Source organism: Homo sapiens, chromosome 7, assembly GCF_000001405.40.
Source record: "Homo sapiens chromosome 7, GRCh38.p14 Primary Assembly".
NCBI classification, from domain to species: domain Eukaryota; kingdom Metazoa; phylum Chordata; class Mammalia; order Primates; family Hominidae; genus Homo; species Homo sapiens.
In genome coordinates, this window is record NC_000007.14 from 102,094,716 (window position 1) to 102,109,899 (window position 15,184).

Genomic DNA, 15,184 nt, shown 5'->3' on the forward strand with positions numbered 1-15,184 from the left:
CGTGATCAAAGGTTCCTCTCTTTACCTCCTCTTCCCTGACCTCTATGTCAAGTTTAAATCGTGGTTCTGTACAAAGGAGGCTGTGAACGGGCTGTTCACTTTCTTGAAACCATTTGCCCAGCACAAGGTCGTGAAGGTGGGGAAGAGGGGCAGGCTGAGAAGGTGAAGGTATCCAGAGAAGTTATGGAAATTTTTTTTACAAACAGCACCTGGAATCTTTTCAGGAATTCTGTTTTTTTGTGTTATCACGACTCCTGCTTACAAAGAACCATCTCCCCAAGATAGCATTTTTTTTTTTTTCCAAGACAGGATTTCGCTCTGTTGCCCCGGCTGGAGTGCAGTGGCTCAATCACAGCTCAATGCAACCTCGACCTCAAGGGCTCAAGGACTTCTCATGCCTTAAGCCCCCCAGTAGCTGGGACTACAGGGGTATGCCACCATGCCTGGCTAGTTTTTTGGTTTGTGTTTTTGTTTTGTAGAGACAGGCTTTCACCATGTTGCCCAGGCTGGTCTCGAACTCCTGAGCTCAAGCAATCCGGCCACCCTCGGCCTCCCAAAGTGCTGGGATTACAGGCATGAGCCACTGCAGCCGGCCTCCAAAATAGCTTTTGGAGTCAAATTTAACATAAATATTTTGATGCTGATTAAAATAATAATGAAAAGCCATGCACCAGAAAGAGATGCAATTATAGGCTGTGTATACGTGCAGAGTAAGTGCCCAGCAGCCAGGGATTCTGCATGATGGACTGTGTTGCTGTGAAACCCCAGCACCCGGGATCTGCTGACGTTGAGCCCAACATATCCCAGCGCCTGCCTTTTGTAAACTCTGCAAAGACGCTGGCATCCTAAAGAGTCCCTGGCTCCTGCTGGATACGTTAACCGAGGCATGGTAGACCTGGCCCTCGATTCCAGGAACCTAGGGTGGTCTGAAAAATTAATGACTCTGGCATTTGAAAATTAAGTGAGCTCTTGAATATATACTCTTGTTGATCCGCTGGGCATGGTGTTTGGCATTCTTCGACTGGAGACTAAATCTCTGCAGCCATCTCACAAGTGACACTGGCGCCCATACCAGAAATATATTCAATAATCTTTCTAAGCCCTGTGGACTTGGGTATTCTTCCACTCTGACGGAGCCTGAGAATTCCAAAGGAAGTATGCCCCAGGTACCCAGCAGGCGGAATATAATTGCCTCTTAGGCAGCAGAAAGAAAACTAAAGATCACATTGATGCGGAAGAACATTTAAGGTCTCTCTATCCTGTGTTGAATTCACAGTAAAGGCGAGAGCCGTGAGTTTGTACTGTAAATTCCAGGTCTGTGACTTCTGACTTTGGATTAAAATCCAGTTTTCTGGAAGTGAATCTGATGGCAGATATGACCTTGAATTGGCTGCAAGACCCCAGCGCTGGCCTGGCTGCCGTGCAGCGCGCGCTGCTCTGCACTTAGTTATCATCAGGAGTGTGGTGGCCTCCTGGCCAGCTGGTCTACGACAGGGCCATGCCGGGTCACCAGCTGTGCCTCTGCAGGGGTCTCCAGCCTTGGGACCTGCGGCCGCTAACCCCTGACTCTTCTGAACACCCTTCATTAGTGAAGGAGGATCGTAATGGAAAGTGGTCATGTCATGAAATGGGGTGGCTTTATAAAGCCTAAGTGTTTCTTTCCTCTGCTTCACCTCTGCTTCATTCTTTACCTTGTTGTAAAGAATGGTCACTCAGGGCTGGGTGGGGTGGCTCACGCCTGTAATCCTTTGGGAGGCTGAGGCGGTCAGATCCCTTGAGTCCAGTTTGAGACTGGCCTAGGCAACATAGGAAGACCCTATCTTTACCAAAAAATACAAAAATTAGCCCAGCGTGCTTGTGCATGCCTGTAGTCCCAGCTACTTGGGAGGCTGAGGTGGGAGGATTGCTTGAGCCCAGGAGGTGGAGGCTGCAGTGAGCCATGATCATGCCACTGCACTCCAGCCTGGGCGACAGAGTGAGACCCTGTCTTAAACAAACAAACAAACAAAAAAGCATGATCACTTGGAGTTAACAGACTTAGGTGTGCATTCTCCATGCCAACCAACTAGCTGGGTGACCTCAGGTGAGTCATTCTGCTTCCCTGGGCTTTAGTTTCTGAGGCCTCTTTCTCGAGATTGTTGTAAGGCTCAAAAGACACAATCTCCATAAAGTGTCCCGTGAACTGTGTGGCGTTCTCAGGCATCAGGTGTCACTTCCAGCCTCATAATCACTGGACCCTTAAACATCCCGGCACCTGTCCACGGACTTGTCCGTCCTCCACGTGCAGCTCCGGGGATGTGATTGACCTCCTGGGGCTGCTACCTGGTGTATTTCTCTACTTATCTGATCAAAGAATGAAAATCATGAAAGTGTCACACCAGGCAGGAGTAATCGGCAAATACCAGTGAATCTCATGGCTATTGCCACCCCATTTTCACACCTCGAGGACCCCGGGCTGGGTCCATCCTTTGTAAAGCACTGGAGAATTCTCCCACCCAGCAAGGGGGCTGGCTGCAGGGGCATGACTGTGGCCTCTGGGGAGCCCCCGGAGCTGATGTCCCAGGAGCCCCACTCTGAGCCTGTGTACCGCCGTGGAGGGGGCCTGTTTGCTGGCCGAGTGGGGTGATGGCTGTTTTCCTGTTGTGCAGATCCCGTACCAGCTTTGGATCTCGGACAGCAACTCCAGCTCAAAGTGCAGCGCCTGCACGATATTGAAACAGAGAACCAGAAACTTAGGGAAACTCTGGAAGAATACAACAAGGAATTTGCTGAAGTGAAAAATCAAGGTTGGTGGAAAATGCGTTCTTTGCTTTTTCTTTTCTTCTTTTTTTTCTCTTCTTTTTATTTTAATTGGCTTTTCCCATACTTTTGAGACCAGCTCTCCTTGTAATATACACGTCATAAAGTCAGGGTGGGGCAGGAATCTGAGTCGTTAAAGAGAGATGATAATCATGCTGAGCTATTTCGAAGTAAAACTTTTCCTCTGCACAACAACGACGTAAGATTTTATTGCCCTCTGATGAGACCGATCAGGATTCTTTGAAAATTCTTCCCGTATCATTACGTGATTGGGTCTGCCTCTTGAAAGGCCCATGCATTGCCTCCAGGCGACACCTGTCAGAGAGCCAGCTCATGATCAAAGGGTCACACACAGTAAGTCATTTAATAATTGCTGTGGATACATTAAGGCTTCAGACACATCTTAAAGGCTGCATGCTTAAGCCCCGCTGTTGCCTTGTCAGTATCGCCTATTCATTAGGAATTTAATGAAAGAAAACAACCTCTTGGTGTGTTTGCCCAGCCGTCAACAAGACAGAGAGGGCAAAGGTTGCCTGGCTTTTCCCGTCAGGGAAGAACAAAGGAATCTCTCCTTTACCTAAAATCCAGAGGCACTCAGGATCCAGGAGCCTGTTGGCTTCCTTGGCTTGAAGGAAAATCACAGCTCCCGTCTGACAGCAGCAGCAGCAGGCTTTTCAGCCAGCTCCAAAGAATAATTCGGCCAGTTTGTTTTGGTTTGGGAATGTGAGTACGGAATTAAATTGAAAGGGGAGGCTGCCCATTCCTAGTGGCCTTCCATTGACCATTTGTAGAGACTTCAATAAAGAGTTAATTGGGGCCACGTGCGGTGGTTCACACCTGTAATCCCAGCGCTTTGAGAGGCCAAGGTGGGAGGACTGCTTGAGGCCAGAAGTTCGAGACCAGCCTCGGAAACGTAGCAATACTCTGTCTCTACAGAACATCAGAAATTAGCTGGGCATGGTGGTGCACACCCGTGGTCCCAGCCACTCAAGAGGCTGAGGCGGGAGGATCGCTTGAACCCAGGAGGTCAAGCCTGCAGTGAGCCATGATTGTGACACTGCACTCAGTCTGAGTGACAGAGCAAGATCCAGTCTTTAACAACAACAGAAAAAGTTAATTGGCAAAGACTTCTTTTTTTTTTTTTTGAGATGGAGTCTCGCTCTGTCGCCCAGGCTGGAGTGCAGTGCACGATCTCGGCTCACTGCAAGCTCTGCCTCCCGGGTTCACGCCATTCTCCTGCCTCAGCCTCCCGAATAGCTGGGACTACAGGAGCCCGCCACCACGCCCAACTAATTTTTTTTTTTTTTTTTTTTTTTTTTTTTTTTAAGTAGAGACGGGATTTCACCGTGTTAGCCAGGATGGTCTCGATCTCCTGACCTCATGATCCACCCCCCTCAGCCTCCCAAAGTGCTGGGATTACAGGCGTGAGCCACCGCACCCAGCCAATTGGCAAAGACTTTCTAAAAGTGTCCTTTGGCTTTAAAAACACTGCAGATAGACCAGGGAAGAAGAATTGTCCATGGGAATGATCCAGAAAGCATCTGTGATGATGTGTGAAGAGCCAGAGGTAGAGGCATGGGCTGTGAGGGCGGCGGTGCCTAAGACCTCCGAGCACACCTCCCTGTAGTGTGGGCATGGGGGTACTCAAGCCCTCAGGCCAGCATAGCTTCCTTGCTGAAATTTGGGGGCACGAGGTGACAGGCAGCTGGGGAAGCCAGACCCCGCTTCTTTCTGGCTTTGCAGAGAGTGGTGAGCCTTTAGGACTAGAAGGGACAACTCTGTCCTGCTAGAGAGCGAGGCATTGGGCTTACTAGGGCTGGAACTGCTGTGAGGGAAGGTATTACCTTCCCTTGTAGGAAGCATTTCTTGCCAGAATCACGCCAGTATTGCAGTAAAAGGTAACCTGCAAATCTGCACATTGAGTTTTCATAGATACGCTACCCTAAAGGGGAGTATCCTGGTTTTTTTTTTTTTTCCCCTTCATTGTCCTCTGGTATCTAATTTTGATAGATCCACTCTCTGGTTTGTTTGGTGAGTGTTTTTTATTTATTTATTTATTTTAGATTCAGGGTCTCGCCCTGTCACCCAGGCTGGAGTGCAGTTGCATGATCATAGCTCACTGCAACAACCTTGACCTCCTGGACTCAAGTAGTCCTCCCGCCTCAGCCTCCTGAGTAGCTGGGACTACAGGCATGTGTACCACCGTGCCCAGCCTCTTTCTGGCTTATTTTATTTTTTTGAGTTTGCTTTTGTTTTGTTGGAGGGTGGTGCAGGTGGGGCCTGGTGGGCTGTGCAGGATTGTCCTTCCCTTCTCCTTCTATCACTGGTGCCTAAATTACCAGCTTCCCAGTGGCCAGGGCTTTGCACAGGGGCTGACCAGGAGCCAAGCTGGGTGTGGATGTTCTCTCCCCAAAGATCTCATCCACACTCAGGAGTGGCTTTTCACAATGAGTTATAGAGCCCAAGATTTAAGAACAGCTCCAGGCCAGGTGCAGCGACTCACGCCTATAATCCCAGCACTTAAGGAGGCCAAGGTGGGCAGATCACTTGAGGTCATGAGTTCGAGACCAGCCTGGCCAACATGACGAAACCCCATCTGTACTAAAAATACAAAAATTACAGGCATGGTTGGGCACGCCTGTAATCCCAGCTACTCAGAAGACTGAGGTGGAAGAATGACTTGAACCTGGGAGGTGGAGGTTGCAGTGAGCTAAGATCACACCACTGTACTCCAGTCTGGGCAACAGAGCGAGACTCCATCTCTAAAAAAGAATGGCTCTGGAGGCAGACAGACAGACCTGGTTTGAGTCCTTTTATTGCTACCACCTAGCTATGTGACCTTGGGCAAATTATCTCACTTTGCTAAAAGCCTCTTTCTCTTGGGAGGCAATTCTGATACTTACCAGGTAGGGTTGGTGTGAGCTTAAATATGCATATACACACAGCATTTGGCACTCAATAGTACCTGCTACTTATTCAGCAGTGTGGTTTTTGAAAGAAATTTACCCTCCTTTATTTGGATAACAAGTTTTCCCAAGCTCCAGAAAAATGTCATTTCCTCTCCCCCACTTCCAAGAATAAAAGTGATTATAATTTGGGAAGGTGGGCGGTGCACATCACTTCTTGTAATTATCACACCAGTAGTGTAAATGATTAAAAAGTTAGAGCAGGGGCCAGCACAATGGCTCATGCCTATAATCCTAGCACTTTGGGAGACCAAGTCGGGAGGATCTCTTGAGGCCAGGAGTTCGAGACCAGCCTGGACAACATAACAAGACCTATCTCTTAAAAAAAGAAAAAAAAAAAGATGGTGTGAGTCCATTGTGTGTTGCTGTAAAGAAATACCTTAGTCTGGGTAATTGATGAAGAAAAGAGGTTTATTTGCCTCATGGTTCTGCAGGCTGTATGAGCACGATGCCAGCCTCTGCCCAGCTTCTGAGGGTCCTCAGGAAGCTTTTACTCATGGCAGAAGGTGAAAGAGGATCAGGCATGCCACAGGACAAGAGAGGAGGGGGCATCCCAGACGTCTTAACCAAATCTCAGTGACTCATCACCAGAGAGAGGCCACCAAGCCATTCATGAGGGATTCGCCCCCATGACCCAGACACCTCCCACTTGGCCCCACTTCCAACACTGGAGATCAGATTTCAACCTGAGATTTGGAGGAGACAAACATCTAAACTATATCAGGTACATAATAAAAGTTAGAGCAAAGAGGGAACTTCTGCCTCATGGGCCACAGCCCCACCCATCCCGCAATGATGAGTAAATGGAGGCCCCAGGTAATGCCAAGCCCTTTAGATTCCTCTCTGTTATGCTGGCCCCGTCCTCCCCTACACATGCCTGGGAGGCCTGCTGAGACACCCAGCATCTGCCCGGGATACAGCCTGGGCCAGAAGGCCAGAGGCGCTAGGATAAAGTGGCCTCTGGCTGAGGTTGGGCTGGTCCGTGAGCACTCACCCGGGTCCAGGGGGTGGCAAAGAGACCTCATCAGGCACAGCACACTGTCGAGGTCACACACTGTGATGTGTCACTGAGGAGCCCCACTGGAGCAAGCGTTAGCGTCCAAGTGCTGTACAGCCACTTCCAGCCGGTCCTTAAAGGCAAAAATGAGGCCAGGCATGGTGGCTCATGCCTGTAATCCCAGCACTTTAGGAGGCCGAGGTGAGCAGATCATTTGAGGTCAGGAGTTCGAGACCAGCCTCGCCAACATGGTGAAACCCCGTCTCTACTTAAAAAATACAAGAATTAGCCAGGTGTGATGGCACACGCCTGTAATCCCAGCTCTTCGGGAGACTGAGGCACGAGAATTGTGTGAACCTGGGAGGCAGAGGTTGCAGTGGGCCGAGATTGCGCCACTGCACTCCAGCCTGGGTGACAGAGCGAGTATCTGTCTCAATAAAAAAAAAAAAAAAGACAAAAATGCTGTATGTTTACACGAGAGTGTAGACCATTGACGTAGCAGAGCAGTTCAGGCTTTTTCAGAGCTGACCTGTCTGGAGTCCATTCTGGAAGTGTCCAGCTCTTGCCTCACTTTGGCCTCGTCCGTATGGCTTGAGAGAGACGTATCACCAACCACTGTGTGCACAGAGCATTTCTTCCAGGACCTGAACAGCCAAACCAAAAGGCGGAAAGTTGCCCAGTCCCCTCTGCTGTGCCCTGATGGGATCGTTGGTGGAATTCCACCTCTCTACGGAAAGCACTCTGGGACACACCTCATGAAAAAGGCCAACCTCTTAACAAAAGAGCCTTTCACACAAAAATTAGCCAGGTGTGGTGCGCGCCTGTAATCTCAGCTACTCGGGAGGCTGAGGCAGGAGAATTGCTTGAACCCAGGAAGCAGAGGTTACAGTGAGCCAAGACTGCACCACTGCATGTCAGTCTGGGCCACTGAGCGAGACTCCGCCTCAAAAAAAAAAAAAAAAAAAAAAAGCCTTTAGCTTGTATGCACTAAGCCGCGTGGGTGTTAATCGCCCAGGTGTTTTGCTCCTGCTCTGGCCAGCGCATGTCCGTGCAGCTCAGGGAGCAGGAATGGATGTGAGTTACACACCTGGCAGGTGCCCTTGCTGCACCAGAGGGAGCTCCATTGCCACAAGCCCTGTCTGGGCTTCCCCCAGCTCTGCCCGGCCTCGGCTCCTTCAGTCATTCATGCCACAGTGCTTTCCTGAGCACACGTCTGTTTGCCAGCACTGGGAACACAAAGAAAATGAGCCTCGCCTGCTAAGAGGTAGATCTGTAGCAGCGGGCGACAATTCCTAAGAGCTCCCCTCTCTTGGGGGCTGGGGCCACAGTGCTTTTCCACAAAGCATCCAGCATGCGGAGTGGCATAGGCGTATCTGGAGGAGGGCGCACGTGGAGTTGTCCTGCCCCAGAGCCACCCACACACAAAGCATCCAGCATGCGGAGTGGCATAGGCGTATCTGGAGGAGGGCGCAGGTGTAGTTGTCCTGCCCCAGAGCCACCCACAGGTCTGTTCCATTCATCAAATCCGCTTTGATATTCCCCATTTGGGCAGTTGAGGTGATGTCTGTGAACCTGCAGTTGGTGGTACCAGAGCCGTCTGGACCTGCGCTTTCCCAAGACAGCCCTGCCTCCCAAGGGGCCCCTCGCTGCCCCACATCCTTGGTGCTCACACCTCACTCTAGGACTCCTCCAGGCCACATGCCAGTCACCGGAGCATCTTCCCCCAGGCTACGGCACCCTCTGCTCTGCACACAGCCCATGACCACCAGAGTGGTGGGCACTCCAGGGTGGGTCCCTTCCAGCCCACTCCCTCCATGCTTTATCCACCTAGCACCACATGTTTCTTGTCACTTGTGAACCAGCAGAGCTGCAGGGCCAGGCCTGCTTGCTTGCTTCCTTCCTTCCTTTTCTGTCTCCCTCTCTTTCTTTTGCTCTCCGTTTCTCTCTCTCTCTCTCTCACTCACTCACTCACTCACTCACTCACACTCTGTCACCCAGGTTGGAGTACAGTGGCGCAATCATAGCTCACTGCAGCTTCAAACTCCTGGGTTCAAGACATCCTTCCACCTCAGCCTCCCAAGTCCCTAAGCTGGGACTGCAGGTGTGTGCTACCACGTCCAGCTAATTCTTGCCCTTTTTGTAGAGGCGGGGCTCGCTGTGTTTCTGGGGTTGGTGTCAAACTGCTGGGCTCAAGGGATCCTCTCACGTTGGCCTCCTAAAGTTCTGGGATTACAGATGTGAGCCACTGTGCTTGGCCTGTAGACTTTCATCTTTTTTTTTTTTTAATTTATTTGTAATTTGTGTGGGTACATAGTAGGTGTCTATATTTATAGGCTACATGAGACGTTTTGATACAGGCATGCAATGTGAAACATCACATCATAGAGAATGGGGTACCGTAGACTTTCTTGACTCCACTTCGATTGCTTCTTCCAAAATGCACACACTATTATGAACTATTTTTTTTCTGAGAAAGTACTTAAACCCACCTAAAACTTTATTAATCATCCCTCAGTTACAGGACTAATTTAAGACTCATCAATAAGATGATATGATATTTTACCATTGATTTCCATCTCCCCCCACCCTTTTTTTTCTTTAACTGGTACTACAGAAACCAAAGCTCTTCTTTTCAGCAAAATCCATTGATCCTCCTCAGCCTAAACGTTTAAAGTTCAATTTAACATTTAGGGAGTAAAAGGTCTCTGAAGGGACTCATAACCATTGATTTTGTGTCAGAGTTGAAGAGCTAAGGTTTAAAACACACCGATCCTACCAGGTTATGAGAGCCTTGTACCTACAGCCATATGGAATTGTATGCTTCTCTTACTGTAGGTTTTTTTTTTTCTTTTCTGCAGAGGTTACGATAAAAGCACTTAAAGAGAAAATCCGAGAATATGAACAGACACTGAAGAACCAAGCCGAAACCATAGCTCTTGAGAAGGAACAGAAGTTACAGAATGACTTTGCAGAAAAGGAGAGGTGAGCATGACTTCCAGGCACACACAGACTGACATAGCATTTGCCCCTGAACTTCACATCATCAGACATGTTGATAAATGGATCTGCAAAATAAGCCCAGGTTGTAACCCCAAATCTATAAGGGGTAAAATGTTTCAAAAATGATATTCTGGCTGGGTGTGGTGGCTCACGCCTGTAATCTCAGCACTTTGGGAGGCCGAGGTGGGTGGATCATGAGGTCAGGAGTTCGAGACCAGCATGACCAACATGGTGAAACCCCGTCTCTACTAAAAAATACAAAAAAAAATTAGCCAGGCATGGTGGCGCACGTCTGTAATCCCAGCTACTTAGGCTGAGGCAGGAGACTCACTTGAACCCGGGAGGCAGAGGTTGCAGTGAGCCGAGATCGCGCCACTGCACTCCAGCCTGGGCAACAGAGTGAGACTCCATCTCCAAAAAAAGATATTCTACATTTGTGAGGTTTCCTTGAGCGAAATGCATCTGTCTTTCCCAATCGGTGGATGGTGTCAGGCAGCCAGTGGGCCCAAGACTATCCAAGCCGTGCAGGTGCAGAGGTGAAGCTCAAGGCATGAGTCGTTAGCAAGGCGGCACCTGGCAGCTGGACCTGGGCTGAGACCAGAGAGGAAAGCCCATTTCCCAGTGTGTGTCCTCTGGGGACAAGCCCTGGGCTAGTGCTAAACTCTTTCTGCCTTCTCAAGCAAATTGATATTTAATATTACACACACACACACACACACACACACACACACACACACAGACTCTCTGATGTATTTAATATTACACACACGCGCACACACACAATCTCAGTGGGTTTTTTGGTATTGCCTCTTTCATTACCTCACATATCAGGGAGTTAGTATCAGTAAAATATGTTAATGCCCTATGTAACTGATGTGAGTTTTAGATTTCTAATGACTTACATTACCAAAAACGTTTCCCACAAATAATGAGTTGGTTTTCCCCTAGTGTGATGAGTTAATGAAAGTTAGATTCCTTGTAACAACAATAAGGACTATTGAGCTTACGGATCCCAACCATATAGATCTTTTTTTTTTTTTTTTTTTTTTTTTAAGACAGAGTTTCACTCTCATTGCCCAGGCTGGAGTGCAATGGCGCAATCTCGGCTCACTGCAACCTCCGCCTCCTGGGTTCAAGTGATTCTCCTGCCTCAGCCTCCCAAGAAGCTGGGATTACAGGCATGCGCCACCACGCCTGGCTGACTTTTGTATTTTTAGTAGAGTTGGGGTTTCACCATGTTGGCCAGGCTGGTCTTGAACTCCTGACCTCAGGTGATCCACCCACCTCAGCCTTTCAAAGTGCTGAGATTACAGGTGTGAGCCACCACGGCTGGCCTAGATTGGATTTTTTTAAACTCATGGGTTAAATTAAGGTATTAAGTTTTATACCCGCTCCCATCAAGTAAAAGAAAAGCAAAAAAGGGAAAAAAAAGATACTGAATTTTAACTCTAGTATGAAGAAATGTATGTATCCATCAACAGGAAGCACTAAATTTATGACTACAGGTAAGGGGCCAAGTGGGACTGTGGCTGGTGTGGGATTTTGTTGTTTTATTTTCAGTTGACTTCCTATGCTGAATACTTGGTGAACTTTTCTTTTTTCTTTTTTTTTTTTTTTTTTTTTTTTTTGAGATGGAGTCTCACTCTGTCACCCAGGCTTGAGTGCAGTGTCGCAATCTTGGCTCACTGCAACCTCCGCCTCCCAGGTTCAAGTGATTCTCCTGCCTCAGCCTCCTGAGAAGCTGGGACTACAGGTGTGCACGCCACCACGCCCAGCTAATTTTTGCATTTTTAGTAGAGACGGGGTTTCACTATGTCGGCCAGGATGGTCTCGATCTCTTGACCTTGTGATCTGCCCGCCTCGGCCTCCCAAAGTGCTGGGATTACAGGCGTGAGCCACCGCACCCGGCTCTTGGTGAATTTTTCTAAGGTGGGCTCTGTAACAATATCATTGGGTTAGGAGGTGGGGCTTAGACACTGGACCAAATTGAAGACTAGCTAAAACAGGGCCTGGAGAGAAGCAGCTTTCTATAAAACATGCCCACCAGTGTGCCACATCAGTTTACCATTGCCTTGGCAACACCCAGGAGTTACCACCCCTTTCCACAGCAATGATCTCACAGCCCAAAAGGTACTACCCATTCCCTAGAAATTTCTGTATAAACTGCCTCTTAATCTGAGTACAGATTATGAGTACAAAATATGAGTACAAAACTGTCCTCAGCTGCTACTGGCAGCACACGGCCTATGGGGCAGTCCTACCTCACGAGACCAGTCACAGAGCTGTAACGCTGCCACCTCCATAAAGCTGCCTTCTTCAGCCCTACCACCAGCTCGCCTTTGAATTCCCTCCTGGCTGAAGCCCAGAGCCCTTGCCAGCTAAGCCCTCCTTTGGGGCTCGCCTGCCCTGCAGCATCATGAAGGCCTCTGAGGAATGCCATTAAGCTGACTTCATTCAAAAAGAAAACTGGCTGGGCACAGTGGCTCACATCTGTAATCCCAGCACTTTGAGAGGCTGAGGCAGGAGGATCCCTTGAACTCAGGAGTTCGAGACCAGCCTGGGCAATATAGAGATATGCCATCTCTATGGCATGAATGAATGTATGAATGCGCCATGCATGTCAGCATGTGCCTATAGTCTCAGCTACTTGGGAGGCTGAGGCAGGAGGATTACTTGAGGTCAGGAGTTCCAGGCTGCAGTGAGCTATGATCAGGCCACTGCAATCCAACATGGGTAACAGAGCAAGACCTTGTCTCAAAAAAGAAAAGAAAAGAAAAGAGGCTGGGCGCAGTGGCTCACACCTGTAATCCCAGCACTTTGGGAGGGTGAGGTGGGTGGATCACTTGAGGTCAGGAGTTCAAGACCAGCCTGACCAAGATGGTGAAACCCCATCTCTACTGAAAAAATACAAAATAAGCCAGGCGTGGTGGCACATGCCTGTAATCCCAGCTACTCGGGAGGCTGAGGCAGGAGAATTGCTTGAACCCAGGAAGCAAAGGTTTGCAGTAAGCCGAGATCACACCATTGCATTCTAGCCTGGGCAACAAGAGCAAAACTCTGTCTCCAAATAAAAAATAAATAAAAGAAAAGAGAACTGCCAGCTCCCGCCCACCCGGGGCCCTCCCTGCATCAGAACTTGGCCGTAGGCTTTCAGTACATTCTCTCACTAATTGCCCAGAATGGATCTGCAATGTAGACCATCTCTTTTCATAGAGGGAGAAAGCAGGTCGTGGGTGAGGTACCTCCTACAGCTTTTGCGGCTAATCAGGGCCAGAGGTGGGACTTTGCAACTCCAGACTGGCACCTGCCCATCTCTGCAGCCCTTGCCTCCCCGTCTGCTCCATTGTGGCCACCTGGAGCCCTGGTTGCCGGACCAAGGCCAGTCCCTTGGGGCCACGCCCAACTCTGCAGGTGGAGGCCGCATCCATCGTCCCTGGGGGAGCGCGGCAGGGCACAGACTCCAGGAAAGGAGTGCGCATCACAGAGTCAAGGCTCGGACAGATGGGCAGACCCTTGACCCCGTTGATACGGATTTGGTCCTAAGTAAATGCCTTTTAGGAAAGCACTCCTCACCAGTGAGTGATCAAGGGGGAAAACGCGAGCAATCTCAGTGCCCTGCCATGGAGAAATGGGTTAGTAAAAAGAACGGACCATCCCTAACTGGGATGTTATGTCACCGTTAAAATATTAATAATAGTTATGGAGAATTCATAGTAACATGAGAAACGTACCTAATATAATATGAAGTCAAAACATGCACCGTACAAAATTATTTACAGTGCAGTATGATTGTACATCTTCCTACAGCAAACTCATGCATTACCACAATGTGGAAATAAACACATATGGGAATTAAATATTATTAAGTTGACTTTTCTTGTTTTTTGAGACAGAGTCTTGCTCTGTCACCCAGGCTGGAATGCAGTCTCACAATCTCAGCTCACTGCAACCCTCCGCTCCAGGTTGAAGTGATTCTCCTGCTTCAGCCTCCTGAGTAGCTGGGATTACAGGTGTGTGCCACCAAGCCTGGCTAATTTTTCAGTAGAGATAGGTTTTCTCCATGTTGCTCAGGCTGGTTTCAAACTCCTGACTTCAGGTTATCTGCCCGCCTCACCTCCTGATGTGCTAGGATTACAGACATAAGTCACTGTGCCCAGCTCTTGACTTTTCAAATTAGGTAAAGGGATTAGCTATATTAAAATATACAATAACTGATTCTTAGAGGGAAGGGCTGAAGCTAGAATTTACTTCATTCATTTTGTGTGTGTGTGTGTGTGTGTGTGTGTGTGTGTGTTTTGAGACAAAGTCTCTCTGTCACCTAGGCTGCAGTGCAGTGACACGATCTCAGCTCACTGCAACCTCCACCTCCTGGGTTCAAGCAATTCTCCTGCTTCAGCCTCCCAAATAGCTGGGGTTACAGGTGCCCAACATCACACCCAGCTAATTTTTATATTTTTAGTAGAACAGGATTTCACCATGTTGGCCATGCTGGTCTTGAACTCCTGACCACAAGTGACCTGCCCACCTTAGCTTCCCAAACTGCTGGGATTACAGGCGTCATTCTTTATAACAAAAAATTGTTGATGGATCTAGGATTTAAATATTATAATTTTTTGTCACAAACATACTGGAAGAAAACTGGGGTGCATATTTGTTTTTATTAATATGACTATATAAAACTTAAAACAGATTCTCAAAAACAAATAATAACATTTTAAAAACATCAACAAACTGAAGAAATATTTGTACCATGTAAGACAAAAGGCTAATTTTCTTTATATACAAAGAGGACTTCTAAATTAATAAGAACAAAATCCGCTCTACAAAAATAGGCAAAGGAGATAAGTAGGCATGTCATACAAAGAGAAATAACATAGCTTTACTCAGCAGTAAAAATTTAAATTTGATTTTATCTTGTGTTGGCAGAGTATACGAAAACACACTTACATATTGTTGGTGGGAGTTTAAATTGGTGAAAGTTTTTTGTTGGGAAGTTTTTCACTATCTATCAAAACAAGAAAAGTGGCCAGGCGAGGTGGCTCATGCCTGCAATTTCAGCACTTTGGGAGGCTAAGGCAGGCGGATCACTTGAGGCCAGGAGTTCGAGACCAGCCTGGCCAACATGGTGAAACCCCATCTCTACTAAAAATACAAAAAACAGCCAGACTTGGTGGTGCACACCTGTAATTCCAGCTTCTTGGGAGGCTAAGGTATGAGAATTGCTCGAACCCTGGAGCAGATGTTGCAGTCAGCCGAGATCATGCCATTGCTCTCCAGCCTGGGTGACAGAACAAGACCCTGTCTCCAAAAAAAAAAAAAGAAAAAAGAAAAAATTGCAGATACTCTTTGGCCATTGTAATTCCTCTGTTAGCATTTCATCTCCAACAGATTCACTCTCAAAATTATACAGCAGTATCTCCAC

General features: G+C 48.1%; 1 protein-coding gene across 25 annotated transcripts in view, besides 6 other annotated features; it reads left to right on the forward strand.

Moving 5' to 3' along the window:
• Positions 1-15,184, forward strand: part of CUX1 (cut like homeobox 1) — a 467,952-nt gene that overhangs the window by 278,709 nt on the left and 174,059 nt on the right. For 24 of the 25 annotated variants that reach the window (NM_001913.5, NM_181500.4, NM_001202544.3 and 21 more), the window contains 2 exons: positions 2,649-2,786; positions 9,621-9,744. In NM_001913.5, coding sequence (NP_001904.2) covers positions 2,649-2,786; positions 9,621-9,744 — 262 coding nt within the window. The remainder of the gene's footprint in view (positions 1-2,648; positions 2,787-9,620; positions 9,745-15,184) is intronic. The other variant, NM_001202545.3, reaches the window with a different exon arrangement.
• Positions 972-1,483: an enhancer, noted in NCBI's record as "H3K27ac-H3K4me1 hESC enhancer chr7:101738967-101739478 (GRCh37/hg19 assembly coordinates)". NCBI's record gives its function as "activates a minimal SCP1, AML or CMV promoter by ChIP-STARR-seq in naive H9 embryonic stem cells {active_cell/tissue: H9 hESC(naive)}" and the evidence as "EXISTENCE:reporter gene assay evidence [ECO:0000049][PMID:30033119]".
• Positions 2,363-3,562: an enhancer, noted in NCBI's record as "P300/CBP strongly-dependent group 1 enhancer chr7:101740358-101741557 (GRCh37/hg19 assembly coordinates)". NCBI's record gives its function as "activates an origin of replication core promoter dependent on BRD2, BRD4, P300/CBP, MED14 and CDK7 cofactors, with strong dependence on P300/CBP, by STARR-seq in HCT116 cells {active_cell/tissue: HCT116}" and the evidence as "EXISTENCE:reporter gene assay evidence [ECO:0000049][PMID:35650434]".
• Positions 6,262-6,763: an enhancer, noted in NCBI's record as "H3K4me1 hESC enhancer chr7:101744257-101744758 (GRCh37/hg19 assembly coordinates)". NCBI's record gives its function as "activates a minimal SCP1, AML or CMV promoter by ChIP-STARR-seq in primed H9 embryonic stem cells {active_cell/tissue: H9 hESC(primed)}" and the evidence as "EXISTENCE:reporter gene assay evidence [ECO:0000049][PMID:30033119]".
• Positions 6,764-7,263: an enhancer, noted in NCBI's record as "H3K4me1 hESC enhancer chr7:101744759-101745258 (GRCh37/hg19 assembly coordinates)". NCBI's record gives its function as "activates a minimal SCP1, AML or CMV promoter by ChIP-STARR-seq in primed H9 embryonic stem cells {active_cell/tissue: H9 hESC(primed)}" and the evidence as "EXISTENCE:reporter gene assay evidence [ECO:0000049][PMID:30033119]".
• Positions 7,531-8,207: an enhancer, noted in NCBI's record as "H3K27ac-H3K4me1 hESC enhancer chr7:101745526-101746202 (GRCh37/hg19 assembly coordinates)". NCBI's record gives its function as "activates a minimal SCP1, AML or CMV promoter by ChIP-STARR-seq in primed H9 embryonic stem cells {active_cell/tissue: H9 hESC(primed)}" and the evidence as "EXISTENCE:reporter gene assay evidence [ECO:0000049][PMID:30033119]".
• Positions 8,208-8,883: an enhancer, noted in NCBI's record as "H3K27ac-H3K4me1 hESC enhancer chr7:101746203-101746878 (GRCh37/hg19 assembly coordinates)". NCBI's record gives its function as "activates a minimal SCP1, AML or CMV promoter by ChIP-STARR-seq in primed H9 embryonic stem cells {active_cell/tissue: H9 hESC(primed)}" and the evidence as "EXISTENCE:reporter gene assay evidence [ECO:0000049][PMID:30033119]".